At 48.1% G+C, this 27868-nt stretch overlaps 1 protein-coding gene across 25 annotated transcripts in view, besides 5 other annotated features; it reads right to left on the bottom strand.

Moving 5' to 3' along the window:
- CUX1 (cut like homeobox 1) overlaps positions 1-27868 on the bottom strand; it is a 467952-nt gene that overhangs the window by 312169 nt on the left and 127915 nt on the right. The gene's annotated exons all lie outside the window — the stretch shown is intronic.
- Positions 18102-19301: an enhancer, noted in NCBI's record as "MED14-independent group 3 enhancer chr7:101595769-101596968 (GRCh37/hg19 assembly coordinates)". NCBI's record gives its function as "activates an origin of replication core promoter dependent on BRD2, BRD4, P300/CBP and CDK7 cofactors, and independent of MED14, by STARR-seq in HCT116 cells {active_cell/tissue: HCT116}" and the evidence as "EXISTENCE:reporter gene assay evidence [ECO:0000049][PMID:35650434]".
- Positions 18102-19472: a biological region, named in NCBI's record as "MED14-independent group 3 enhancer GRCh37_chr7:101595769-101596968".
- Positions 18420-18945: an enhancer, noted in NCBI's record as "H3K27ac-H3K4me1 hESC enhancer chr7:101596125-101596650 (GRCh37/hg19 assembly coordinates)". NCBI's record gives its function as "activates a minimal SCP1, AML or CMV promoter by ChIP-STARR-seq in naive H9 embryonic stem cells {active_cell/tissue: H9 hESC(naive)}" and the evidence as "EXISTENCE:reporter gene assay evidence [ECO:0000049][PMID:30033119]".
- Positions 18467-18761: an enhancer, noted in NCBI's record as "tiled regions #6241 and #11625 (exact overlaps); HepG2 Activating DNase matched - State 16:ElonW, and K562 Activating DNase unmatched - State 14:Gen5". NCBI's record gives its function as "activates a minimal TATA promoter and a strong SV40 promoter by Sharpr-MPRA in HepG2 and K562 cells {active_cell/tissue: HepG2 | K562}" and the evidence as "EXISTENCE:reporter gene assay evidence [ECO:0000049][PMID:27701403]".
- Positions 18946-19472: an enhancer, noted in NCBI's record as "H3K27ac-H3K4me1 hESC enhancer chr7:101595598-101596124 (GRCh37/hg19 assembly coordinates)". NCBI's record gives its function as "activates a minimal SCP1, AML or CMV promoter by ChIP-STARR-seq in naive H9 embryonic stem cells {active_cell/tissue: H9 hESC(naive)}" and the evidence as "EXISTENCE:reporter gene assay evidence [ECO:0000049][PMID:30033119]".

Raw genomic sequence — 27868 nt, 5'->3', positions numbered from 1 at the left:
CAGCAACTTGTAACCGGCAATGAAACCAAGTGACTTCTTTTTACGAGGATCTTTAGGGAGAATTTTTTTTGCCAACACCAGAGGAGCTGTGCTTTCCCTCAACACATGCTTTGTTTTGAGCTTGTGGACAGCGTAAGTCACATGACTTATCTGGTTGCCCTTTTTGCATTGGTTGCTGGGAAGCTCACAATCAAGTCTGTATCTCATCTTTACAAAGTACACAGGGCCTGGGGAACTTTGGATAGTTGTCTAATTCTGGTTCTAACTGCCTTTTCCTCTCACTTTATTTACAATTTATTTTTACAATAGAGATTGGGTCTCCCTATGTTGCCCAGGCTGACCTTGAACTCCTGGGCTCCAGTGATCCTCCTGCCTTGGTCTCCCAAAGTGCTGGGATTACAGGTGTGAGCCACCATGCCCAGCCTCCTCTCACTTTCTTTCCTCTTCGTTCCCACTCACTCCCAGTCTCATGCCTTGCTTGTCATACTGTGCTAACTGTAACTTTGCAAGCCATTGGAAATCATTCTTGGAAGTGAGCAGAACACAACCAGCCAGGAGGGCAGGAATGGCATAGTGTCAAGGGCATGGCTGTAGGGTCACACCGACCCAGACTCAATATGAGCTCAACCCTTGCTGGCAGCGCCATACTGGGCAGGCCAGTGACCTCTCTGAGCCTCAGTCTCCCCAGATGGAAAATGGGGAAAGTATCTTTTTCAGGACTGTTGTCAGGATTAAATTAGTAGATACATGTGAACGTGCTCAGCTCAGTGCCTTGTTCAAAGCAGGTGCCTAAGATAAGTCACTTCCCTTTCCTTCTGCTGCAGGCAAAACTGGCAGAGATCCCACCCAAAGTCCCCAGACAACCAGGATGCCTCTACACTCCAAGGAGGTCAGTTGATCCCAGGGTCAGTTCTGATTAGAAATGGGAAGGTTCAGCCGGGTGCAGGGGCTCACGCCTGTAATCCTAGCACTTTGGGAGGCTGAGGCAGGTGGGTCAGCTGAGGTCAGGAGTTCAAGGCCAGCCTGCCCCAAATGGTAAAACCCTGTCTCTACTAAAAAGACAAAAATCAGCCGGGTATGGTCGTACGCGCCTGTAATCCCAGCTACTCGAGGGGCTGAGGCAGGAGCAATGCCTGAACCTGGGAGGCCAAGGTTGCAGTGAGCCAAGATCGTACCACTGCACTCCAGCCTGGGCGACTGAATGGGACTCCTTTTCAAAAAAGAAAGAAAGAAAAGAAAGACATGGGAAGGTCTGGGATACTCAGCAGAGGCGTGGGGAGGTCATGTCCCACTCCTCGAGCTCAGGTTCTGCAATCCTGGGGTGTGTGCAAACCTCGGTGGGGTTTGGCCAGCCCCACATGAAGCCTGTATCAGACAGTTTGTCCTTTAGGAACTGCAGGTGGGAACAGCCCCCTCCAACGCACCCCCGGGCCAAGCTAAGGAAGGGTCAGGCGGCTCTGTCTCTAAAGCACCTGGGATGGAAGGACTCAAAGTCAAGGCCAGCCGTTTCTCTATGAAAGGTCTGTTGTGAATTTCCTACCGCAGGCTTCCTGGCCACCCATCACTCAGTGCCATTCTGGGCCACTCTCTGCAACTGTCAGTCAACGTTTGCTAAGAGAATAAAGCCTAATTTGAATTTTAACAAGCACAGCAATTAGAAAGGCCGATCTGCCACAGAGAGCATCTTATCACACATTTGAAACCCAAATACAAATATTTCAGATTATGCCCTGGGAGGGAATATCCATTTTCATTTATGACATGTAAACTACAAGAGTAACTTTTTTTTTTTTTTTTTTTTTTTTTTGGTGCTAACTCCGGCAAGAAGACAAGGATGGTTTCAGAATTGAAAAAGGAAGGAGAAAGGGGACCGTGGAATCCTGATACGCGTTGGGGCAAGAGTCAAGGGCAGAGAAAGTTACTTAATTATTACTGCAGATCAGGCGCCTCTTTTTTCAAGGTACATCTTCATTTCAATGGATACATTTAAGCAGGTTCCAGAAGTATACACTGCACACATTTTCAACTAAAGATAGAAACTATGCTTAAAAAGCTAATTTGGTATTTTTAGGAGTTTGGGTTTCTTTGATCTGGCCAAAAGAGGCTTAAAATTCAGCTTCAAACTATTTTGGTCTCTGCTTCACAACTCTGAAATAACTGCTACATCTTAAGTTCCCTTCGACCGCTAAAAAGTGTGGGATTCTATCAACCTGCACGCTGGAAAGGCTGAAAGTGCAGGGCTGACTTCACATCAGAATCTTCTCTTTCATGAGGATCCTGGCTTTGTCAAAGGAGGTGAATTTCAAAATGTATGATTTGGTCACTTTTGTTTGTGACAGGGTCAGACCTTCCTAATCCAAATTCAAGGTTTTTCTCTTTACAGTACAGGAAAATCTGGGTGCCTGCTTTTTTTTTTTTTTTTTTTTTTTTGCTGTTTTTTGTTTGTTTGTTTTTTGAGACAGGGTCTTGCTCTGTCACCCAGGATGGAGTGCAGTGGCACGATCTTGGCTCAATGCATCCTGGAACTCCCAGGCTCAAGCAATCCTCCCACCTCAGCCTCCTGGGTAGCTGAAAGTACAGGTGTGCGCCACCACGCTCAGCTAATTTTTTGCATTTTTTTTTTTTGTAGAGATGAGGTTTCACCATGTTGCCCAGGCTGGTCTCAAACTCCTGGCCTCAAGTGATCCTCCTGCTTTGGCCTCCCAAAGTGCTGGGGTTACAAGTGTGAGCCACTGCACCCATCCTAGGTGCCTGTTTGTTTAACTCTCAGTACAGGGAGGTTAATGACAGCAATCAGCTCATGGCGTTTCCAGTAACAGATCAGTATCTCTGTTACTCTCACCACTAGCCCACAGCTGGCCTGACCAGACCCTTTACCAATGTGGAGAGAGGAGTTCAGGGAGCCCCGTGTCCTGCCCAAGGCCACAGAGCTGATCAGCTGCTGAGCCGGGGTCACCTTGCAGAGTCATACCTCCACAGCACAGTCCTCTCCCTACCAACTCTCCCCTGTCTCCCACCCAGGCAGCAGGGATATCCTGGAGAAGGCTGAAGAATTCTAGGCTCTTCAGGCCGGGCATGGTGGCTCATGCCTATAATCCCAGCACTTTGGGAGGCCAAAATAGGTGGATCACTTGAGGCCAGGAGTTTGAGACCAGCCTGGCCAACGTGGGAAAATTCTGTCTCTACTAAAAATACAAAAATTAGCCAGGCACGGTGGTACGCGCCTGTAACCCCAGCTACTCAGGAGGCTAAGGCAGGAGAATCACTTGAACCTGGGAGACGGAGGCTGCGGTGAGCCAAGATCGCGCCACTGCACTCCAGCCTGGGCAACAGGGCGAGACCACGTCTCAAAAATAATAATTCTAGACTCTTCTGATGCCCCTACCCCATGTGGCTTGGGACTCCCAGACACTTTAACAAAAGCAGCAGCAAGTCTGCAGAGGGTTGTCCAGGGGACCCACCTGGACCCCAGACTCAACCTCTTGACTCTTGTATTTCAACATACTTTTGATATAGGAACTCCCTCCCACCCCACAATTAACTTTTATGTGAAGATTTTTTAAAAGACAAACGATACAACCCTAGTACCAGGTGCAGTGGTTCATGCCTGTAATCCTGGCATTTTGGGAGGCCAAGGTGGGAATATCACTTGAGCCTCGGAATTGGAGACCAGCCTGGGCAATGCAGGGAGACCTCCTCTGTACAAAAATTTTAACAAATATCCAGTTGTGGTGGTGTGTACCTATAGTCCCAGCTACTTGGGAGGCTGAGGCAGGGGGAGCTGCTTGAACCCAGGAGGTTGAGGCTGCAGGCAGCTACGATCACACTACTGCATTCCAGCCCGGGCAACACAGGGAGACCCTGTCTCAAAAAAACAAAGAAAAATCCCCAAACCAAAAACCCTAGAGCATTATGATTCCCCCAAGTAACAGCACCTGTGAACAGCATCACTACAAGGACCTTACAGACGTCCTGGCCCCACTACCTCATTTTACAGATGAGGACACAGACATGGGGAGAGGAAATTACTTGTCTAGGATAAATTCTGATTATATGTTTCTGGGGACCTTTTACATATCTTTTTAGAAAGTGTGGTGCACACAACATCCCTTCCTATAGTGCAGACCATTTCAAGAATGTGGTTTAATTAAACGATTCTGCTAACAGAATGTGTGTTTGCAGTTTTTCACCATTGACGCATACATGCCCGGGCTCAGCAAGATGAGTTTATTTCTTTAAAGCAGTTGCAGGCCATTATTTGCGAAAGAATTTGCATTCAATGAACATCACACAGACAAGAAGCTTTTAAAGGCTTCTGAAACCTGCAGTTTTGAATCTTTCCCACTGGAGAAGGAATCCAAATTGTCCGCGGCTACCAGATCTAGCGCGGTGTTTCGGAAGCTGTGAAGGCTTTATTAGTCTTTGAAAAAGACACTTGGCTAAGTCACAAGTGTGGCAAATGGAAAAAGATTTCTGGCCGGGCGCGGTGGCTCACGCCTGTAATCCCAGCACTTTGGGAGGCTGAGGCGGGTGGATAGCCTGAGGTCAGGAGTTCAAGACCAGCCTGGCCAACATGGTGAAACCCCATCTCTACTAAAAATACAAAAATTACCTGGGCATAAGTGGAGGGCACCTGTAATCCCAGCTACTCAGGAGGCTGAGGCAAGAGAATCATTCAAACCCGGGAGGTGGAGGTTGCAGTAAGCCGAGATTGCGCCACTAAACTCCAGCCTGGGCAACAGAGTGAGACTCCATCTCACCAAAATAAAATAAAATAAAATAAAATAAAAAAATTCCAAATGATCCCTCTGCAAAGGAACCAAGTTATGGGGCTGGGATGGATCTGTCAAATCCCTCTTGGATGGGGGTGTCCTGGAGCTAGGCCGGCTTGTTGCAGAAGCCCCCTGCTTGTTCTATCCAGACCACTTGAGAGCTTCCCTGGCAGGTCCGCTCGGCCCAGAGGATCCCCTAGGCTGTGCACCTGATCAGAAGGGAAGTCCCACGTGTATTTTGGTGAATATAGGGAGATACAGACCGTGGGTAACGACCCTCAAGAAGCACACACCTCTGATGTTCCCTGCAGGTGGCCCTCACCTGTCGGGGCACCTGGCCCCCTGCCATGCTCTTTCTATCCTTCCCTCCACATGACCATGGGACATCCGCCACCTAGGACATTCCCACCCATCTAAAGCTCCAGCAGCCTGCAATCACCAGGCCTTCCCACTTTCCCAGAAAAATCAGAGCTGGGGTTTTGTGCAAAATACCACCTTACTACGAAAATCTCAAAGACAAGCCCACATCAAGCAAACAGTAACACCAGTCCCCATGTGCCCATCATGCGCTTTCAATGAGTATCAACTCTCGGCCAGGCTTGTTTCATTTACTGTATTAATTGTTGCAAATCTCAGATATCAAGTCATTTGATCCAGAAATATCTCAGTGTGAATTCTCTAAAAGATAAGGATCCTTTAAAAAAAAAAAAAAAAGACAGTCAAAACACTATAATCCGGGGCCTGGGTGACATGCTGAAACACCACCTCTACAAAAAATACAAAAATTAGCCAGGCATGGTGACGCGCACCTGTAGTCCCAGCTACTTGGGAGGTTGGGGCAAGAGGATCAGCTGAGCCCGGGGAGGTTGAGGCTGCAGTGAGCCCTGATGGTGCCACTGCACTCCAGCCTGGGCAACAGAGTGAGACCCTGTCCCAAAACAAAACAAAACAAACACTATTATCACTTCACAAATAATAGCAATAACGCCTCAATATCATAAAATATCCAGAAACCCACTGTTCTAATTTCTCCAGTTGTTTCAGAAACACGTTTTCTGCTGGCTTGTTTCCAACTGTAATCTAAATGAGGTCCACACATTGCCTTTAGCTATCTCTTCAACCTCTTTCAATCTCCAAGTCATCTTTTTTTTTTTTTTTTTTTTTTTTTTGAGATGGAGTCACACACTGTTGCCCAGGCTGGACTGCAGTGGTGCGATCTCGGCTCACTGCAAGCTCTGCCTCCCGGGTTCACGCCATTCTCCTGCCTCAGCCTCCCGAGTAGCTGGGACTACAGGCGCCTGCCACCACGCCCCGCTAATTTTTTTTGTATTTTTAGTAGAGACAGGGTTTCACTGTGTTAGCCAGGATGGTCTCGATCTCCTGACCTCGTGATCCGCCCACCTCGGCCTCCCAAAGTGCTGGGATTACAGGCGTGAGCCACCGCGCCTGGCCAAGTCATCATTTTTTAACGCTGGCAACAAAGTCCATTTTTCTGGAGCAGTACCGCAGTCAACCCCACTGCAGGACAGGGCCAGGCCATATGCCCTGCTGACCCTGCCCTTCCCCCACCACCATGCCCTGACTGGGAACCAAGGATGGTGGAAGGAGAACAGGTCTGGGAGGGAGACGTCATGGGCACAAAGGCCAGCTCGACCTGGGAACCTCTTTGTGGCTTGTGAGTTTCGTCTGTGATACCCACTGCTTTGCACTAGGGAGGAACAAAGGAAGGAAGCCCCCTCCCCGCCGCACAGTGCCTCGCCCACACCAAGGACCTGATCAACGTCAGCTGGATTCATTAGATTATAGTCACAAACTGCAAAGCGGTGTTAGGGAAGAGGCACGACTCATATGTTGCTGTTCGAGGAAGCATAATTCCTCATGTGCAGCTCTGCCATTTCCGAGGAGGCTCAGGGGCAAGGCACGGGAATGACTTTTCTGTCTGGCAAGAAGTAGGTTCATGGTTGTCAGGCTTGTTATAGAACAAAAGGTGTCAAAATGAAGACCACGCCTTTAATCACCATTAAACCCTACTCATTCACTCGCTCACACACACTGGTGTTGGAAAGAGAAAAGTCTCATCTGCTGCTCCCTGGAAAGGAATCAGGCTCCTGGGATCAGGTGGAGATGAGATAAGAAGCCTGTTGCACAAGCCCTCGTATTTCATTGGAGGAATGAGATATCTGCCTCTGCTCTGGTCCAAATGCAACCATCCTCCAATTAAGGCCAGCGCCAGGCAGGGTGGACAGACAGGCTGACAGCTATGGTCCCTCGAAACTCTGAAACGATAATATTCTGGTTGCTGGGGACAGTCTGAAGGTGTTGAGGTTTGCTTGCTGGATGAGAAATCAGTGCAAAACCACCCAAATCACTGGAGCCAGTACTCCCAAAGCCTGTCCAATGGAGGCGTGGTTTCTAGAGCACAGGTGGGCATTTTGTGATCAAAAAAGAATGACGGCAAAAAAGAATGAGAAACTTGAAATAAAGCAAAGCTAGCTTCCTTTCCTCTTGACTTCTTAGAATCGGGATATATTCTGCTCATCATTATACCCTCAGGGCCGATAACATCAATAACAAGGACAGCAATAATGATAGCTAAAACATACAAAATTTGGTGACGAAACCTGGGCCCAAATTCCTGCTCAGTCATTTCTTTCACCTTTTTTTTGAGATGGAGTCTCGCTCTGTTGCCCAGGCTGGAGTGCACTGTCATGATCTCAGCTCACTGCAACCTCCGCCCCCCAGGTTCAAGCAATTCTCCTGCCTCAGCCTCCTGAGAAGCTGGGACTACAGGTGCTCACCACTGCGCCAGGCTAATTTTTGTATTTTTTAGTAGAGACGTGGTTTCACCATGTTGGCAAGGCTGGTCTCGAACTCCTAACCTCAGGTGATCCACCTGCCTCGGCCTCCCAAAGCACTGGGATTACAGGCATAAGCCACTGTGCCCGGTACCGCCTTGTCATTTCTTGATGTGCCTTTGACAAGAACACCCGATCTCCCGACCTCACAGGGTTGCCGAGAAGTTGAAGTGAAATTACATAGGTAAAGGGCCTGTTAAAATATTGGCTTGCCCAGGCACAGTGGCTCATGCCTGTAATCCCAACACTTTGGGAAGGTGAGGTGGGAGGATCACTTGAGGTAAGGAGTTCGCAACCAGCCTGGGCAACATAGTGAGATCCCATCTCTATAAAAAATTAAAAAGTTAGCCAGATGTCGTGGTACACACCTGTAGTCCCAGATAATCGGGAGGCTGAGGTGGGAGGATCACTTGAGCCCAAGAGCTGAGGCTGCAGTGAGCCATGATTACGCCACTGCACTCCAACCTGGACAACAGAGCAAGACCTGGTCTCTTAAAATATATATATATATACATAGGCTTGTGTTGACAGGTACTAAGTAATTGATTATTATTCTATTTTTAGATGAGGAAATGGGCTGTTGAGTGACTGGATCAGGCCAGAACTCAGCTCTGCCCTCTCAAATGCCCTCCAGCCTCCACTTCCCACCCTACTAACCAGCAGCAGTCACTTCTCTGCAGAGGAGAAGAGGTGAGAGTAGAGGAAGGCAGAGGCCTGGATCCGGGATGAACTGCTGGGTGCAGCCCGGGGACGGGAGCCACGCCTGCCTCATTCAACATCACATGCTGGAATCCAACTTTGGGCCACCGTGGTCGCGCATGGAATACAGGAGTGGACGGATGGGCACCTAACCCATGTGATTCCTCCCCCACCCAATGAGCAGAAAACATCAGTGAGGGGGAGGACAGGCGAGCCAAATACAGGGAGGACAGCACATTTTCTGGCACTGAAACCGGTGCTGGGGTCACTGAAGGATAGGCAGGGAATTTTCCTGCCAGGTGAGAGAAGGGGGTGGTTTAGAGAAAGGTGACAAGTGGCATCAGAGGTGGCATCAGCAGGGGGAACCAGGAGATGGCAAAAGCAGAAAAGCACAAGTTGTTTACTTTACAACTTGAAAGTAAATCCCTTGGCCAAACCAGAAAGCTGAGATTGGGCTGGGCACAGTGGCTCATGCCTGGAATCCCAGCACTTTGGGAGGAGGATCACTTGAGGCCAGGAGTTTGAGTCCAGCCTGGGCAACATGGCAAGACCCTGTCTCTACAAAAAATACAAAAATTGGCCTGGTGCAGTGGTGCACACCTGCAGTCCCAGCTACTCAGGAGGCTGAGGTGGGAGGATTGCTTGAGCCCAGGAGTTTGAGGCTGCAGTGAGCTATGATTGCACCACTGAACTCCAGCCTGGGTGACAGAGCAAGACCCTGTTTCAAAAAAAGGAAGAAAAAAGAAATCTGAGATTGATGAAATATGGTATGATGGCTATTGCTCAGAATGAATGGGAGGAGTTGAGGATTCTAAAAGCAAGGGAGAAATCCATTTCTCCCAGGAAGGAGTCTTCAGCTCGCTTCTATCATCCTTTCAGACACGACAGGGGCACACGTATCTGCATTTATATCTGCCTACAAACCAGAACCCATGGCAGACACGGGAAAGACAGAAGACAAGTAACAGTTCGTTATCTCCGGCCTCTATGGACCGCTAAAAACCTTCGCTAAATAGAAAGGTTAGATTTATACACAACAGCTTTAGTTGAAATCAAGATCAAATTTTCATTATCCAAAAACTTAAACGGAAGATCCCGAAAGGGTAGAGCGATTTGAGATTCCACGTAGGGCCAACTTGGTTTCATTCACACCGTTTCTGTGCAGTTAGCTCTGTGATTCCACGGACAGAGAGAAAACGGTGATTAAGGCAAGATGAATTGCAGGGAAATATTAAAAAGATGAAATCGATACATTTGTGTTTTCAGCTCTTCAGACATCTAATTCCCACCTGTATTTGGGGGGAAGGGATGTTCTGCTGTTACTGTTAGTTTATATTTTTCTGATCACAGAAGGAATATGTCATGGCAGAGTATGTTTAAAGCACAGAAAAACATAAAGAAATACGACTCCAAGTCCTGCTCCCTAAAGGAGACTTAATATTTTGGCATGGTTCCTTCCAGGGTTTTTTCTGCCTGTTCCTTTTGTAGTTGTAATAATACTGTATATATACTTCCTAAGTTGCTTTCTTTTTGCTTAAGCCTGACCCATGTACTACAAACTCTCTGCAATTTTTTTTTTTTTTTTTTTGAGATGGAGTCTCTCTCTGTTGCCCAGACTGGAGTGCAGTGGCACAATCTTGGCTCGATGCAACCTCCGCCTCCTGGGTTCAAGCCATCTTCCTGCCTCAGCCTCTGGAATAGCTGGGACTACAGGCACCTGCCACCACGCCTGATTTTTATATTTTTAGTAAAGACAAGGCTTCACTATGTTGGCCAGGCTAGTCCCGAACTCCTGACCTCAGGTGATCTGCCTGCTCGGCCTCCCAAAGTGCTGGGATTACAGGCTTGAGCCACCGCGCCTGGCCAAACCTAATTTTTAATGGTTGCATAACACTTCAAAGAATGGCTGCTCCTGGTTGATTTTTAAAATATACTGCTTTGTTCTATATTGATCAATATTGTGACTAAATGAACAAACAGATAATCACATGCCCTGCAACTCTCCATGTGGGAATGGAGTATGCAATGCTTCCCAAATGATTTTGGCAATTTATATTTGAACGTCAGCATCCTAACAATAATAACCAATATTTATAGCTGGTTTCGAGTGTATAGGGCATTTTCATGTGCACTGAGCTCGTTCAACCCTCACAGCAAACCCTGTGGAGATCTTATTACATTTACTTTACAGAGAAAGCCAAGGATTTGAGGTTAAGCAGTATTCCCATGATCACGCTGCCCAGGGACACACAGATGGAATCTCTCTCCCGGTGAGTGGCTCCCAAATCTATATCCAGGTGAATGCTACTCTCCTCATGGCCAGCCTGTCTCCTGGGCAGCTCTGCTTGGAGACTCCACTAGTATCTTACACTCTCCAAATGCCAATTTCATTCCTCCCCAAACTAGTCCTTTTTGGAATCTCATGGAGGGCACCACCCACCACAGCCCAAGCCAGAAGGCTAACTGCTCCCTCTCCTGCATCTCAACCTTCACCTTCTGCATCCAGCCATTCCCGGGGCTCCCTCTCCACAACACCAGGAGGCCTCGGTGAAGCTCACCTTCTAATCACAGGGCACTGGCACTGGAACTGGCAAAGCAGAAACATTTAATACACATTTGCTGAGAGGGAGGAAGCTCTTAAGACTCCACACACTCAGCTCTGTTAGGACAGCACACTGCCCTTCTGTGGAATCAAAGTTGTGACCAATGCACAGTAGGAAATAAACAATCTTTCATCTCACTGAATTATCTTTGCATGACCAGGCTCTTAAAGCTTATGATTAAAAAAGGTATATTAAGGCCTCTTTGAGAATTTGCTTTTTTGAGACGGGGTCTTGCTCTGTTGTCCAGGCTGGAGTGCAGTGGTGCCATCTCTGCTCACTGCAGCCTCAACCTCCCAGGCTCAATAGATTCTCCCACCTCAGCCTCCGAAGTAGCTGTATCTGGGATCACAAGTGTGTGCCACCATGCCCAGCTAATTTTTTCTTTTTGGGCAGAGATGGGGTCTTGTCATATTGCCCAGGCTGGTCTCAGACTCCTGAGCTCAAGTGATCCTCCCACCTCGGCCTCCTCAAGTGCTGGGCTTACAGGCGTGAGCCACTGCAACTGGCCCTCATTGAGAATTTTATCTGAAGCCAGGACTTCCATAGCATTCCTTGGTAAGAATAAGAATCTCACAATTAATCAGTCATCCGATTAATTGCCAATCCTCCTTTACACGTGAATCTCATTAGAGAAACCTGAAGCGGGCAAGACAAACACAACGAACCTTGCTGCAAAAGCTAAAACGACAGATTCCGGAGACATTTCGGAATGGTGGAATTGAAAGAAACATCAGGGCAAACACAGTTGGTCACTGGGTCGAGGATGAAAAAAGCACCGAACGGAGGCCGCCCCAACCAACCAGGCGCCGGAAAAAGCTCTCTCAATTTCATTTCATGGGACCGTGCGATTCTTACGCAACCGTGCCAATGTGAGGCATCTCGATGGCATTAAAGTCTTGTTAAAACAGCAAACCTGTTCTTTTCAAGAGAACAATGGTATTCTAAAAAGCCTTGCAAAATTAATCGAGTTATTACCCTATAAAGAGTCAAACATGTAACTATGTTTAAAAGGGTCCACAGGTTGTACCATGTCCAAACAGAGAATATGTACGCGGTGAAATCCTCCGCAGAACACCTTCCCATTAATTAGGCAGTGGAAACAGCAGCCTCCCCAAATCGAGCAGGAACAAACAGGAAAGAAAAGAATATACTTCTTGTGAGAGAGAGGGGAAAAAAAATACACGCAAACAAAGAAATTAAAGGCAATGCACTCCACCCTCGATAGAATCAGTTTCAACAGAAATAATGAGAGATCTTACGTGGGCTGCCATGATTTCTTCACGTTGCTCTAAAAGCGGAAGGCGGCTTTCCTGGTTGGCACCCGAAGAGGCAGAACACTGAGGACTCAGAGCCCAAAGAGAACCACCGCCTGCCTTAGGAGGGGAGTGCAGCCTGGTTTGCCATATAATGACGAGAAAAGCAAATCAGCTGGGAGGAAAGAAGGCAATTCTTCTTATCTGGGATAGGAGGGAGAGAAATAGGAAAACTTCCCAGGTGGTGAGTTAAGAAAAAAGGGGAGAGGAGTATTGGCAACTTGGGAATGAGGATGCCAGGTGAATACCCTTGTCTTAGCCACGCTCTCTTGCACACACACACACACACACACACACACACACACACACTGCACACACATAGAGCTAGGTAAGGAAAACATTCTGGGGGAAAAGTCTGTTTTTCCTGAATCTATAGGCACCATCCAATCATCCAGGCTGGGCGTGGTTGCTCACACCTGTAATCCTTTGGGAGGCCGAAGTGGGCGGATCACTTAAGCCCAGGAATTTGAGACCAGCTTAGGCAACACTGCCAGACCGTGTCTCTATAAAAAATTTAAAAATTAGCCAGACATGGTGGCTGGCATGAGCCTGTAGTCCTAGCTACTTAGGAGGGCTGAGGTGGGAGGATTGCTTAAGCCAGGGAGGTCGAGGCTGCAGTGAGCCACGACTGTACCACTGGAGTCCAGCTTGGGCGACAGGGCAATACTGTCTCTTAAAAAAAAAAAAAAAAAAAAAAAAAAAAGGGCATCATCTCCTTATGACAGAAAAGGAATTCTCTCTGTGTTTTCATGCTTCTGTGAAAACTTCAGGACTGGCCAGTGGCTCATGCCTGTAATCCCAGCACTTTGGGAGGCTGAAGTGGGCAGACTGCTTAAGCCCAGGAGTTTGAGACCAGCCTGGCCAACATGGTGAAACCCCGTCTCTACTGAAAATACAAAATTAGCCAGGCATGGTGGTGCGCACCTGTAATCTCAGCTACTTGAGGGGCCGAGGAAGAAGAATCACTTGAACCTGGGAGGTGGAGGGTGCAGTGAGCTGAGACTGTGTCACTGCACTCAAGTCTGAGCAACAGAGTGAGACTCCGCCTCAAAAAAAAAAAAAAAAAAAGAAAAGAAAATCTCAGGACCACCCTAGAGTCCTTTTGGGTTACTCCTCCCACTGAACCAAGTTCCATCTCCTAAATATTCTCACATCTTGCTGCTGCTGCTGCTGCTGCAGCTTCAGGCCGGGCCCACATCCTGGCTCCCAAGTAGGGCCCAGTTCCCACGACAGCCCCACTACGTCTCTCCTGAGCCCCAGGGTTCAGCACAGATGACATGACTTACACAGCACACACCAGATGTCAACGCTGTCATTTCTGTTACCTGTGTGCCCCTTCCCACCTTTGGGTTGGAGGTTCTAGAAGGAGGGGGGCTATTTTTACCCACCTAGCACTCTGCACACTTCACACGGAGTCTGGCACATGGCACGGTGGCAATATTTCCACTAATAACAGCAAGTATTCCAGAAACATGTTCCAGCAAAGGGCTCGCATACTTTTGTCTCATTTAATCACTTTAGCAGCTCCATGAGATGGGTACCAGAGATCCCCCATTACACGGGTAGGGACAAGGAAACTCAGATGACTGAATTACTTGCCCAGGGACTGCAGTGAGTAAACGGCAGCTGGGGTTCTGATCTGTGGGACTTCCAAACTCTCACACTTAACCACTGTTTCCGTTTAAAGATGTCTGGTGAATAAATTAATAAGTACGAAGAGTCTTTCAAAAAGACTCTATTTTGCAGACTTGGACATTTTCTTATTGTTTTCAAATTAAAAAGTAACATTCTCTTGTTTTTTTTAAATTATTTTATTTTTTAAGAGATGGAATCTCACTCTGTTGCCCAGGCTGGAGTGCAGTGGCGTGATCTCAGCTCACTGCAACCTCCACCTCCCAGGTTCAAATGATTCTCCTGCCTCAGCCTCCCTACTAGCTAGGACTACAGGCGCCTGCCACCACACCTGGCTATAATTTTTATTGTATTTTTAGTAGAGACGGTGTTTCACCAAGTTGGCCAGGCTGGTCTCGAACTCCTGACCTCAGGTGATCTGCCTGCCTCAGCCTCCCAAAGTGCTGGGATTACAGGCGTGAGCCACCGTTCCCTGCCTAAAAAAAAGTAACATTCTCTATGGAGAAAATCTGCAAAACACAGAAAAGCATAACAAAGAAAAAAGCCAATCTCACACCAACCAAAAATAATCCCTGCTAAGACTTAGAAAAAGGCCTGGAAGAATCCAGTGTCCTCATGTTCACCAGCCCTTGTGTGATGTGCAGGTATTTGCATCTATTGTGCTGTATGTCTATATATTCATCTTGTCTTTATATTTTTGAACATTTTTCTTTCATTAAACTAGGGTGATACAGCATCTTTAATTCTTACTTTAGGTGATATCATGATCTTTTCTGTGTTAGTAAATATTCTTGGGAAACAATATCAGTTACATAATAATTTGAATGAATGATTTTTAGCATCATTTAGCCGTTCCTCTATATTGGACACTAGCCTTGTTCCCTCCCACCTGTTTTTAGTATATCAATAACACTATAATTAACATTATTGTTCATAAAGCTTTGGCCACATTTCTTTTTTTCTGTTTGAGACAGGGTCTCACTGTGTCACCTAGGCTGGAATGCAGTGGTGTGATCACAGCCCACCACAACCTCGACCTCCCTGGCTCAAGCGATCCTCCCGCCTTGGCCTCCCAGATAGCTGGGACTACTGGTGCACACCACCATGCCCAGCAAACAATTTGTATTTTGTGTAGAGACAGGGTCTCGCTATGTTGCTCTGGCTGGTCTCAAACTCCCGCACTCAACCCGCACTGCCCGCTTCGGCCTCCCAAAGTGCTGGGATTATAGGCGTGAGCCACTGTGCCCAGGCGGCTTTAACTGTATTTCTAATTTTTTTCCTTGGGATAGATTTTCAAAAGTGGGATTGCTGGGTCAAAGGAATACAAAATTCTCAAGGTAACTGTTTTCAAAACAGTCTGAACAGACATTCCTATTATACCAGTTTACCCCTGAAGAAGTTTTCTGAAGGAAACGTTGACTCCATAATCCATCTGATTTTTTTTTTTAAACTGACCTGCTTCACCATCAAGTCATGAACTACATATCCTTTTATGAGTCAGATTACAATTTGGTGTATCTGGTGTCACATGCTAATAAGTTAGCTGGTGATAAATATAACCCATCTATCTCTGCAAAAGGCCGATCTCGGCACAGAAATGGAAATGATCTCAGCTTGGCATCCGGAGAGGCCGCTGTTTAACTGAGGCACTGCGATTCTCATTTCAAATGAGGGCGCGTGCATTTCATCCCTACCACTGTAAGATGCGGAGAGCCGGCCACGCTGAATGTTTTGTCCCCCAAAGCTGCCTCCTTTTTTTTTTTTTTTTTTTTTTTTTGAGACGTGGGCTCACTGCAAGCTCCACCTCCCGGGTTCACGCCATTCTCCTGCCTCAGCCTCCCGAGTAGCTGGGACTACAGGCATGTGCCACCTCACCCGGCTAATTTTTTGTATTTTTAGTAGAGACGGGGTTTCACCGTGTTAGCCAGGATGGTCTCATCCCCTGACCTCGTGATCCGCCCACCTTGGCCTCCCAAAGTGCTAGGATTACAGGCGTGAGCCACAGGGCCCAGCCTTTTTTTTTTAACCTTAGAAACAGGGCTTTGCAAGTATTCGATTGCTCAAGGGTAGAGAACAAAAGTTGTGACTCTTAGCCCTGTCCTCTATCTCCCTTAGAAAGGTGGCTACAAATCCCTAGGTCCAACCATTGGTGCCAATGTTCTCTTCAAGTTCCCTTTTCTGATTTCCCGTTAGTGGAGAGGGTCAGTGTAGAAGATCTTTAGCCCCGTAGCACCATCCTTGGGCCCAGTGACACAGCCAGCCAGAAAGACACAGTCTGGGACTTCTGAACTGGCTCAGGAAGGGTGCAAATTAGGAGAGGGGCCCCAGCTGTGCGTTCCCTGGGACACATGAGACTGCAGAAGTGGGGAAGTGGGTAGGTGCGGAGGTCAGGCATGCCTGCTATCAGAGCAGACAGACCTGGTGGAACTCCAGCTCGGTTACTCTCTGGCTGAATGGCTTGGGCTCAGTTCCCTCAAGTCTATAAAATGGGCATGATATTATTATGCCTCCTCATCAGGGAGATGTAAAGACTGAATGAGAGAATAAATGGGTAGAACTCAGCACAGTGAATACAAGCAGCAGGTGCTTGCTAATATCACTGAGAAGCAAGAAATGCCTTTTTCTTGATGCTCAGATCACCTGTGTCACAGCAATGGTCCAACAGGGAGAAGGGAATGGACCAGGGAGGAGGCGCAGAGCGGAACACAAATCATCCTCTCCCTTCCTTGAACCTGCATTTTTTTTTTTTTTGAGACTGAATCTGTCTCTGTCACCCACGCTGGAGTGCAGTGGCATGATCTCAGCTCACTGCAACCTCCGCCACCAGGGTTCAAGCAATTCTCCTGCCTCTCGAGTAGCTGGGATTACAGGTGTGCACCACCAGGCCCAGTTGATTTTTGCATTTTTAGTAGAGACAGGGTCTCACCATGTTGGCCAGGCTGGTCTCGAACTCCTGGCCTCAGGTGATCGCCTGCCTCGGCTTCCCAAAGTGCTGGGATTACACACATGAGCCACCATGCCTGGCCTGAACCTGTATTTCAACAGCTTCCAAATTCAAATATTTCTATGTAATGCATCCGATCCTCAGCCAGGCAAAGTGGAAGGAGATGGAGTTTGTCGTGGTTAAGCAACAGTCAGACTAGGTGTGTTCATGATGCCACCTGCGAGCAGCTGTGTGACCAGAGCAGTGATTCTGGAAGTTGGTCTAAGCCACAGCTTCCTCATCGCTACCATGGGCAATGGTGGCTGCACTGCAAATGCCAGCACACTGTAGAGAAGGGGTCTTGCTATGTTGCTCTGGCTGGTCTCAAACTCCTGCACTCAAGTGATCTGCCTGCCTCGGCCTCCCAAAGTGCTGGGATTATAGGCATGAGCCACTGTGCCCAGCCAGCTTTAACCATATTTCTACTTTTTTTCCTTGGGATTCTCCTTGGCAATACATACAGCTACAAAAGACGCTAGGCACCAAGCCACACAAATATTTACAACGAGGACGGGAATAATAGAATAATCACAGTGGCTAACATTTATTGAGCCCTTACTTTGGGTTACAATTTTATTTTGTTGAGACAGGGTCTCACTCTGTCACCCAGGCTGGAGTGCAGTGGCACCATCATAGCTCACTGCAGCCTTGAACTCCTGGGCTATCCCCCAACCTCAGCCTCCCAAGTAGCTGGGGCTACACGTGTGCACCACTGTACCTGGCTAATTTTCACATTTTGTCATAGAGATGGGCTCTTGTTATGTTGCCCAGGATGGTCATAAACTCCTGTCTCAGGCGTCTCAGACACATAAACTCGTGTCTCAGGTGATCCTCCCGTCTCAGCCTCCTGAGTAGCTGGGACTACAGGTGTGCACCACCATGCCTGGCTGACTTAAAAAAATTTTTTTTGTAGAGATGGGGGTCTTGCTGTGTTACCCAGACCAGAGGGTTACAATTTGAAAAGATACTGAATTTACTTGGTCTTCCAGAACCAAGAGCCTAAGACATACAGACATGCTGCCCATAAAGAGAATTAAAAGGCAAATGTAAAACTCCAAGCCATAATTTCAACATCACAACGTGAGAAGTGAACAAATGCTTTTTTTTTTTTTGTGGATTTCCCAGAAGAAAACCCTTAAAAGCAAAGGCTGTGCTTCCCCTTCAACCCTCCAGTCGTGAGACAAAACAGACATCGCCAGGCCCGACTGTGTCCTGGCACGGGCCTGAGGCTCTGCTGATCCAGCGCCTTATCTATATTTGGTACGTGAGGTAAAGCAAGAACATCTTATTCCTCCGCCTTTAATAAGCCAGCTTAAGACATCATTACTCACCACCAGAGTGAACTCATTTTGAAACTCTGAAGATGGAGAGGCCACTCTTCGCATTTCTTACTAAAAGAGAAGTGGCTCCTCTCCCCTGATTCCTACAACAAGAGCTGCCACAAATACCTTTAAAAAGGGGCAAGGTAAATTCGCTCACCAACTCACCGTGTAATTTCATCAACGAGAAGGCCGAACAACAACACATAGGGAAGTGTTTTTCTTCTAATAAGTACCTTTCTCCAAGAAGCCACCAATTATGAGGGCCGGGAATGTATTTAAATGCTTCTTACCGCACCAAGTGGAAGATCAGCCACTTTTTATTTATTACTTATTTGAAAGGGAGGGAGAATGAAGAGAATAAAATTTCCTTTTCCTTCTCTAACAAGATGAGTCACAATTTCCAAACATTAATCAATCAGTGAGTCACAGTTGGGGGAGAAGAGGAAATGGCTGGGAGGCCTTCCACTGCAAGCTCTTCCCAGAACCGCAGAGAATCAGGAACCCCAGCGGGCTGACTCGACTTCCCCAGTTCCCCTCACACGTGAGGAGCGGGCAGGGCGGCCAGAAGCCAGGCTTCCTGGCCTCTGAGATGCTCCGAAGGGGTCCCTCTGCTCCTTCATTTACGGAACACACACACATTTCGGAGGTGTCTATTTCATGTTGTAAACAGACGGATAAAATGTCCCGACAGAGCCCATGTCCTCCTGGGAAAGGCAGACAATCAAGTCAGTGACCGCAGAGGACACACACGTGCCCTGCGCACCTATGCACACCCAGTGCAGGGGTGGAAAAGGCAACGGGCAGAGGCAAGGGGTGGGGACCTCCCAACACACCTCTGGGACCAGGTAAGCCCCGAGCTGAGACCAGCATGGCGCAGTGGGGGAGAAGGTGGCGGCAGAAAAGGGAGTGAGCCACACAGGACCACATTTGTGCAAATGCGTGGGTGGGAGAAACAATGGCACGTTTGGAACCCACAGGTGGTTCGGCATCAGTACCAAGTCCACCAGATGAGGGAGGGACACTGGCCAGAGACCAGATGACAAAGGGCCACTGATCCCTGCGAATGAGGTCAACATGTTCTGAAAGGTACTCGGGGTTCCGTAGCAGGGTTCTCAGGCCTTAACCAGGAGAGCTGGTGAAGGCACAGGCGGCTGGGCCTGCCCGCGTATTTTCTGATTCAGCAGGTCTGGAGTAGACCCGAGAATCTGTACTTTTAATTTATTTATTACTGAAACAGGGTCTCGCTCTGTCACCCAGGCTGGAGTGCAGTGGCGCAATCACGGCTCACTGCAGCTCCAACCTTCCAGGTCTCAAGCAATCCTCAAGTCTACTGAGTAGCTGGGAATACAGGCATATGCTACCACGCCTAGCTAATTTTTGTATTTTTTTTTGTAGAGACGGGGTCTCGCTATGTTGCCCAGGCTGGTCTTGAACTCCTCAAACAATCCTTCCACCTTGGCCTCTCAAAGTATTGGGATTATAGGTGTGAGCCACTACGCCTGGTCAGAATCTGCAATTCTAACAAGTCCCCAGGTCCTGTGATGCTGCTGGCCTGGGCCACACCTTGACAGCCACTGCTCTACAGGACAGGAGTTCAAATGGGCCTGATTGTCTTTTTAGATAAAGTTTTATCGGCATACAGCCACGCCCACCATTTTTGTATTATCTATGGCTACTTTACAGCAGAGTTGAGTCTTTGTAACAGACCATATGGCCCTGCCGAAACCTACAGTATTTTACCATCTGGTTCTTTACAGTAAACAGTTTGCCAATCCCTGCTGTAGGCTAATGAGAATGGGTGATAAGAAAAATGCAGTGGCCCATACCTGTAATCCCAGCACTTCGGGAGGCCGATGCGGGCGGATCACAAGGTCAGGAGATTGAGACCATCCTGGCTAACACGGTGAAACCCTGTCTCTACTAAAAATAAAAAAAAATTAGCCAGGGTGTGGTGGCGGACGCCTGTAGTCCCAGCTACTCAGGAGGCTGAGGCAGGAGAATGGCATGAACCCTGGAGGCGGAGCTTGCAGTGAGCCGAGATCATGCCACTGCGCTCCAGCCTGGGCAACAGAGCGAGACTGTCTCCAGAAAAAAAAAAAAGGAAAAAGACTTGCCCAGTCAATGAGTTTTGAAGGGTACTGGGTTGATCGATGTTCAGCAGGTTTCTTTTCTGCAAGAGTTTATAGAGCCTTTAATAACTAGTGCAGTTATCCTGGGACTGGTGTTCCCAGACATGGCATTAGTCTACAGGATGCTGCTAAAGGAATTTTTTTTTTTTTTGAGACAGTGTCTCACCCTATCACCCAGGCTGGAGTGCGGTGGCATGATCTTGGCTCACTGCAACCTCTGCCACCCAGGCTCAAGAAATCCTCCCACCTCAGCCTCCCAAGTGGTTGGGACCACAGGCGTGCGCCACCACACCCGGCTTATTTTTTGTATTTTTAGTAGAGATGGTGTTTTGCTATGTTGCCCAGGCTGGTCTAGAACTTCAGGCCTCAAGTGATCTGCCCACATTGGCCTCCCAAAGTTCTGAGATCACAAGTTGAGCCACCGCACCAGCCTGCTAAAAGATTTTAACCAGCGAAGTTAATCAATCAGAATTGTATCTTGGAAAAACTCCTCCAGGGGGCAGATATACAGAAAGGGAATGAAACCAAAGGAAGTGAGACCAGTTAGGCAGTTGCTATGGTAACTAAGAAGTAAGGAGAGTGTGCACCAGGACAGGGGTTGGCCAAGTTTTACTGGAAAGGGTCAGATAGTAAATATTCTACATGGCTCACGCCTGTAATCCCAGCACTTTGGGAGGCAAGGCAGGAAGACTGCTTAGGTCTGGGATTTTTGAGACCAGCCTGGCCAACGTAGTGAGACCTCATCTCTATAAAAAAAGAAAAGAAAGAAGAAAAAAATATATTTTAAGTTTTGCAGGCCATATGGTCTCTGTTGCAACTACTCAACTCTGCTGCTGTAGCCCAGAAAAGCAGCCACAGACAATAGATAAACAAATGAGTATGGCTGAGTGCCAATAAAACTTTATTTATGGAGGTGAGTTATGGAATGATGAAAAAGTTCTGGAGATGGATGGCAGTGATGGCTTGCACAACACTGAATGTACCTAATTCCACTAAACTGTAGATTTCAAAATAACTAAAATGGTAAATTTTATGTTATGTGTATTTTACTACAATTTTTTTTTTAAAAAAACAACAAACTATGGGCAATGAAATTTGAATTTCATATAATTTTCTGGGTTTTTTTGGGAATTTCATATAATTTTCTTATATCATAAAATATAAGTCTTCTGGGCCGAGCGCAGTGGCTCACGCCTGTAATCCCAACACTTTGGGAGGCTGAGGCAGGCGGATCACCTGAGATCAGGAGTTCAGGACCAGCCTGACCAACAAGGTGAAACCTCGTCTCTACTAAAAATACAAAAATTAGCCGGGTGTGGTGGCGGGTGCCTGTAATCCCAGCTACTCGGGAGGCTGAGGCACGAGAACGCTTAAACCCAGGAGGCGGAGGTTACAGTGAGCTGAGATCGCGCCAGCATTGCACTCCAGCCTGATCGACAGGGTGAGACTCTGTCTCAAAGAAGCAGCTTGTACTGGAACTGTCGGATCCTGTGGGGTAATGAGCAATAATCAGCCCATCCGTGAGTGATGCCCAGGAGACACCAGCTCCTGAGAGTCAGGGGCAAGAACTCCTGCCTCCTTCACCTCTCAGAAGCCCCTCTCTCAGGGATTGGGCCTGAGGACCACTGTCTAGCAGAAAAAGCAAGCACTCGCTAGGCGTGGTGGCTCATGCCTGTAATCCCAGCACTTTGGGAGGCTGAGGTGGGTGGATTACCTGAGGTCAGGAGTTCAAAGACTGGCCTGGGCAACATGGCAAAACTCCATCTCTACTAAAAATACAAAAATTAGCTGGGCATGGTGATGTGTACCTATAATCCCAGCTACTTGAGAGGCTGAGGCACGAGAATCACTTGAACCCGGGAGGTGGAGGTTGCAGTGAGCCAATATCGTGCCACTACATTCCAGCCTGGGCGACAGAGTGAGACTCTGTCTCAAAGAAAAAAAAAGGAAGAAAAAGAAAAAAAAAAAAAGCAAGCACTCTGCCTTAGCCACAGTAAATGATCACAGTGAAATCCAATCAGAGATGAGGAGATTAAATAATGACCAATGTTTGGCTGGGTGCGGTGGCTTATACCTGTAATCCCGGCATTTTGGGAGGCCTAGGCGGGCGGATCACGAGGTCAGGAGATCGAGACTATCCTGGCTAACACGGTGAAACCCGTCTCTACTGAAAATACAAAAAATTAGCCAGGCGTGGTGGCGGGCGCCTGTAGTCCCAGCTACTCGGGAGGCTGAGGCAGGAGAATGGCGTGAACCCAGGAGGTGGAGCTTGCAGTGAGCTGAGATCGCACTACTGCACTCCAGCCTGGGCGACAGAGTGAGACTCTGTCTCAAAATAATAATAATAATAATAATGACCAATGTTTGTCAAACAATCTGTGGGAGAAGAACACACAACAGATTTTTACATTTCCAGCCCATTGTGGACTCAGATCTTTATAAAATAAAATTAAAATGCCACTTGGATGTCACCGTCACGTTAAATTGCTATGAACATTTCTAGACACCTACTCTGAACTTCTGTGCTTATCTTGTTGCAGACCAGTGATGGGCAGGGTCCTGGGCCATACTCAGACACACTTGCAGGGGCACAGTGGCCTGGCATGGTGCCTCCTGAGATTTCTCTGCTGAAAAGAGAACAAAATGTACAACCCAATCAGGCCAGCCAGTCCCAAGCTCAGGGACTCAGGCAGGTGATTCCTCAGGGACAGGACTCTGGAAAACGGAGGACCTCAATGGGGTGCTCCTGTACCAGGGCGGGTTGAAGGTCAGCAAATGTCAGAGAAGAGAGACTCTGTGATGCCCCCCCAGCAGAGCCACCAACCAGTAGCCCCTGGCTAATTTGGCTCTTACAACAAAGTAGGGCTTGAGGGGATCCAGATACAGAGGCCCAGACTCAAGGGAACTCGGAGACCCAGAGGGACAGAGACACTTCTCCATCTTTATAAAGAAATCAGACAACTTGAACACTGGAAATCTACAAAGCAGGCAACGTTCCAAGGCTAGCCCTTATTTTAAAGGCTCGACTTTATTATAAAATCCCGAGGCACCACGTTCCCCTATGAAAAGCCAATTCCTAAAGTGGATCTAGGGCACAGAGGGAATGGATTCTCACTCCATCAGAGCAGACAGTTTTCCGCTTAAGAGATGTAATTGCAAATCATTTTAGAAAACCCTCAACAACTAATTGTCGTGATAATGCCAAGTTTACGGAGCCCAAATAATGGACAAATATCACCACGTAATAGAATAGGACAAAAATGGTAATTTTACTATGGAAAGTTGGAACTTGCCATTTCAAATTAGCAGAAGCTGTGAAGTGGGCATTACTGACAATGTGAATATAGTAATTGGGGCTGATTTCTTGGCGCCTGGCCGAATCTGGCTGCCTGGCGTCCTGTGAGTTAATTATAGCTCTGTTAACAGAGCGGGGGCAGGGAACTCGGCAGTGACGCAGAGATAAAACTCAGCCCAGGTCTCTGCAGATGAGGCAAAATGTGAGTGTTTTGGCTGGAGATCAGGTGCAACAGAAATTAGTCCCAATTAATTCCGTAAGCAATAGTCCTCAGGAAATACAGACATGGATGGCTAGGGTCAACAATTCCTGGGAGCTGAACTTTCTGAAGGTGTCCTTGCTAACTCAAAATTGGTCTTCATCCTTTCCACATTGCCAGTGGAATGGCTAAGTAAGTCATTTTTGTCTACATCCAAAAATATTTCATTTACTGCTTTAAAAGATTCCTTTTAAAAAAATCCCAGGAATCAAAATATGTGATTCTGTCCAAATTAGCTCTCTCCACAGACTGAGACAATTATTTCACTGTGGGCTTTTTTGGAAATAAATCTTTCTTTTCTTTAATTTTAGAGACTGTATTGTGCACTTTGAGATTTAAGATGGAATTCATTTCATCCCCATGTCTAAGTTGTTGCCTGTCTAATACGTTGGCATGCCCCGTGCTGGGGCACCAGTTTCTTTAAGAAACTGATGAAGGTGTGTGCGGGATTAACTTATGGTTGGATATGGGGTAAATATTTAAGCTCGGGCTCGGGCCTAGAATAGTGAGGTGGTTTTTTCGGTTTTTGTTTTTTTGAGACGGAGTCTCGCTCTTGCTCAGGCTGGAGTGCAGTGGCATGATCACGGCTCACTGCAGCCTCGAGCTCCTGGGTGCAAGCAATCCTCCTGCCTCAGCCTCCCAAGTGGCTGAGACTACAGGCACATGTCACCACACTTGGCTAATTCTTTAATTTTTTGTCAAGACAGGGTCTCACTCACTATGTTGCCAAGGCCGGTCTCCCAACTCCTGGGCTCAAGGGATCCTCCCGCCTCAGCCTCCTAAAGTGCTGGGATTGCAAGTGTGAGCCACCACGCCTGGCCATTTTACAATGAAGTTACTCAAGTTTTAAATCTGTCATCAAAACATTTAAAATAAAAGTTCTTGGGACCTACTTCCACTCTCCCACCCAAATCGGCTTTGTCCCCTCCCAGCTGAAACCCTGGGTGACACATCCCGGGCCTTCTGTGGCTCCTCTCCCTGTGCACTGTTTTCTCACCGCCGAGCTCACGGAGAGACTGGTTCAGGGGTGCCACCTCCTTGGTCTCACTTAACATTGTCCCCTGAGCCCTCCCCAGCAGCAGCATGGGTTGAGCATCAATACTGGAGTCTGCTGAACTGAGTATGAATTCTCTGAGCAAGTCTATGCCTCCTGTGGCTTTCATCTTTTGTAAAATTAAGACAGCAAGGCCTACCTCTGATGACCACGGGGAACTCATCTGAAAGGCTTAGCAGTGAGTGATCTTTCCTTCCTCTGCCCCCCTCCACCAGCTCCTGGCCTCACTCCCCACCCCAAATCCAACCCAACATTTGCCAGCTGCAAGCTTCACCGCCACTGACCCTCCTGCTGGAAACCCTTCTCTCTTTTTTTTTTTTTTTTTTTTTGAGACGGAGTCTCGCTCTTGTCACACAGACTTGAGTGCAGTGGCACGATCCTGGCTCACTGCAACCTCCACCTCCCAGGTTCAAGTGATTCTCCTGCCTCAGCCTCCCAAGTAGCTGGAATTACAGACGCACACCACCACGCTGGGCTAATTTTTGTATTTTTAGTAGAGACAGGGTTTCACCACGTTGGCCAGGTTGGTCTCAAAATGAACTCCTGACCTCAGGTGATCCACATGCCTTGGCCTGCCAAAGTGCTGGGATTACAGGCGTGAGCCATCGAGCCCAGCAAACCCTTCTCTTCCTAAGCGCAATCTTCCCTCCTGCTGGAAACCCTTCTCTTCCTGACCCGGGTCCAGAGAAAGCTGCCGTCTGACCCACCTGTCGCTCCAAGACTGGTTTTGGTTCTTCTACTCTGTCTGTCCACACATCACACTAGAGAATGCCATCACCTCCTCAGTCCCTGACTGCTGGTTTCCTCTGGGGCCTTCCATCCTCCACCCTTCCAAATCCACAATTCTACCTTGACCTCTCTCCAGGTGCCGCCCTCCTGACCACAGAACCACTCATTGGAAGTGCATAGAACTCATTCTTTAAATAAGCAAATGCCTTGTCTTGACTCCTAAACCAAGCCCTGTGCCTCTGGTGTCCCCGGCCTTGGCTGACACAGCTAGAACTCTTCCTGCCACTCAGACCCATAGGTGGAGGGAAGGGAAGGTGATACAGGCTCATCAGAACCACGTTCCTGAGCACAGGAGGTTTGGGACAGCAGACACGTCTGGCTCCCTGAACCTAGCGGACTAGAACCCCCAACTCCTCCCTCTTGGCCTGCAGCCCTGCATGCAGAATCCTGTAGATCTTGTCCCTACTCCTCTTGCCATCCAGGTCTTCCCCACAGTCCCCACAGCCCTGACCAGGACCTGCATTGGGCTCTCAGGATGTCCCACTGGGTACTCAACTCTCGTTCAGAACATCAGCTCCACGAGGCCAGGACTATGACCTGCCTCCCCGGCACCTGGGACCGTGCCCAGCATAATGAGAACACTCGATACACAAGGCATTTCCATGAGTCCTTGTGCAACTGTAAATAACAATAAATTAACTCCCAGGTATAAATTACAAAATGCAACAGCGAGGAAATGTACTCGCAATTTAAATAAAAGTATTAGTGACTTTTAATTTATTTTATTTTCCTGGCAAGAAACTCTACATTCTGTGGAGTGGTTTCGGTGGTGGTGTGCTTTGTGTCTAAATGACAGTGGAGGTGTCGAAAGCAAGTGTATCCTGTAGCTGAAGGTGCAGAGCCGGAGCCTGCCTGGGTGGAAGCCGCTGCACACAGGCCCTCATGGCTCTGCCCTGAGGTCGCTCTGCCCTGTCTGCAAAAGACCTCATCCACCCCTGACTCCCAGCACGCACCTAGCACCTGCCCCGCAGGCTTGGTAACCAGTGGGTGACTGTGTGTGGAAGGAGTCCCAGAGTGGGCTTGGGAGGTGGGGTGGCACCCTGGGGTGACAATTTCTGGGAAAGTGCAATGCTGTCTTATTTTCTCACTCTCGTGGCATTTGGTGTTAACTCTGGGTATTGGAAGAAGCAGCTTCATCCCCAGGCTAAATTGCAACACCTTGCTTCAGAAAAGAGGCCCTCTCATTTCATACCAAGTGGGGTCAACCCGGCAGCAGTGATGTGCAACACGGCCTGCACCAGTGTGGCGACAGATGCAACCTGGGTGTGCCCACCTGCTCCCTGGGTGGCCCGAGGTGACCGCTGCAGGTCTGCAGCATCCTCCAGGAGGAAAAGCACCAACCAAGAGGCACAGGGTTTAAAAACAGAAACAGAATCACCCATGAACATACACGCCACAGCAGATGACATGGACTGCCCGGAGGAAACGACCCAGGGTGTCTTAGCAGGAGCTCAGTAGAAAAATTCCGGCTCCTGGGTTTGATTTGAGAAATGCACCAAAGTGTGACCTTAGGCAGATCCCCACTTCCCTCATCTGTGAAGTGAGAGGGGCAGAAGGCTGGATTGCTGGTGTCAACTGGTGGCTCACTGGCCACAAACAGTCACGGAGGAGCATGCGTCTCCCGCGTGAGCCAGGATGGTAACACCCAGTGCTTCCCCCAGACCTTGGTAGGTTTATGTCTTACTGCTGAGACTGCCAGAGCACAACGCTGATGTTGAATGCTAGCCTATAAATGTATCAACGCCTTCCTGGGGAAAAGCAGGAGCTCTGTTTCCATGGCACTGGGGTAGATGAACAGCTGGCAGTGCAGGACACCCCTCCTGCCCCTTCCCACTCCATCCTGCAGGACTCTTGGACACAACTACCCCCTGCAACCCAGCCCACTGCGCCCCTTTCTGGAAGGAGCCATCGGGAGGGGCTGGGACAGTCTCCCTGGGTGGGGACAGGGCTCCCTATGGATCCATTACCTGCTCTCAAGGCCTGAGTCACTCACACCTGGGATGGCTGAGCCCAGTCAACTGAAGAAAAAAACAAGTTTTCTTTCCCGAGTCACAGCACTAATAGAGGCTTTGGCAAGAACCTGTGTGCGGCTCAAGTTGTCTTTTTTTTTTTTTTTTTTTAATTTTTAAATAGAGACGCGGTCTCGCTATGTTGCCCAGGCTG

The sequence above is a fragment of the Homo sapiens genome, chromosome 7, assembly GCF_000001405.40.
Source record: "Homo sapiens chromosome 7, GRCh38.p14 Primary Assembly".
Lineage (NCBI taxonomy): Eukaryota > Metazoa > Chordata > Mammalia > Primates > Hominidae > Homo > Homo sapiens.
This window is presented reverse-complemented; position numbering and strand designations above follow the sequence as displayed.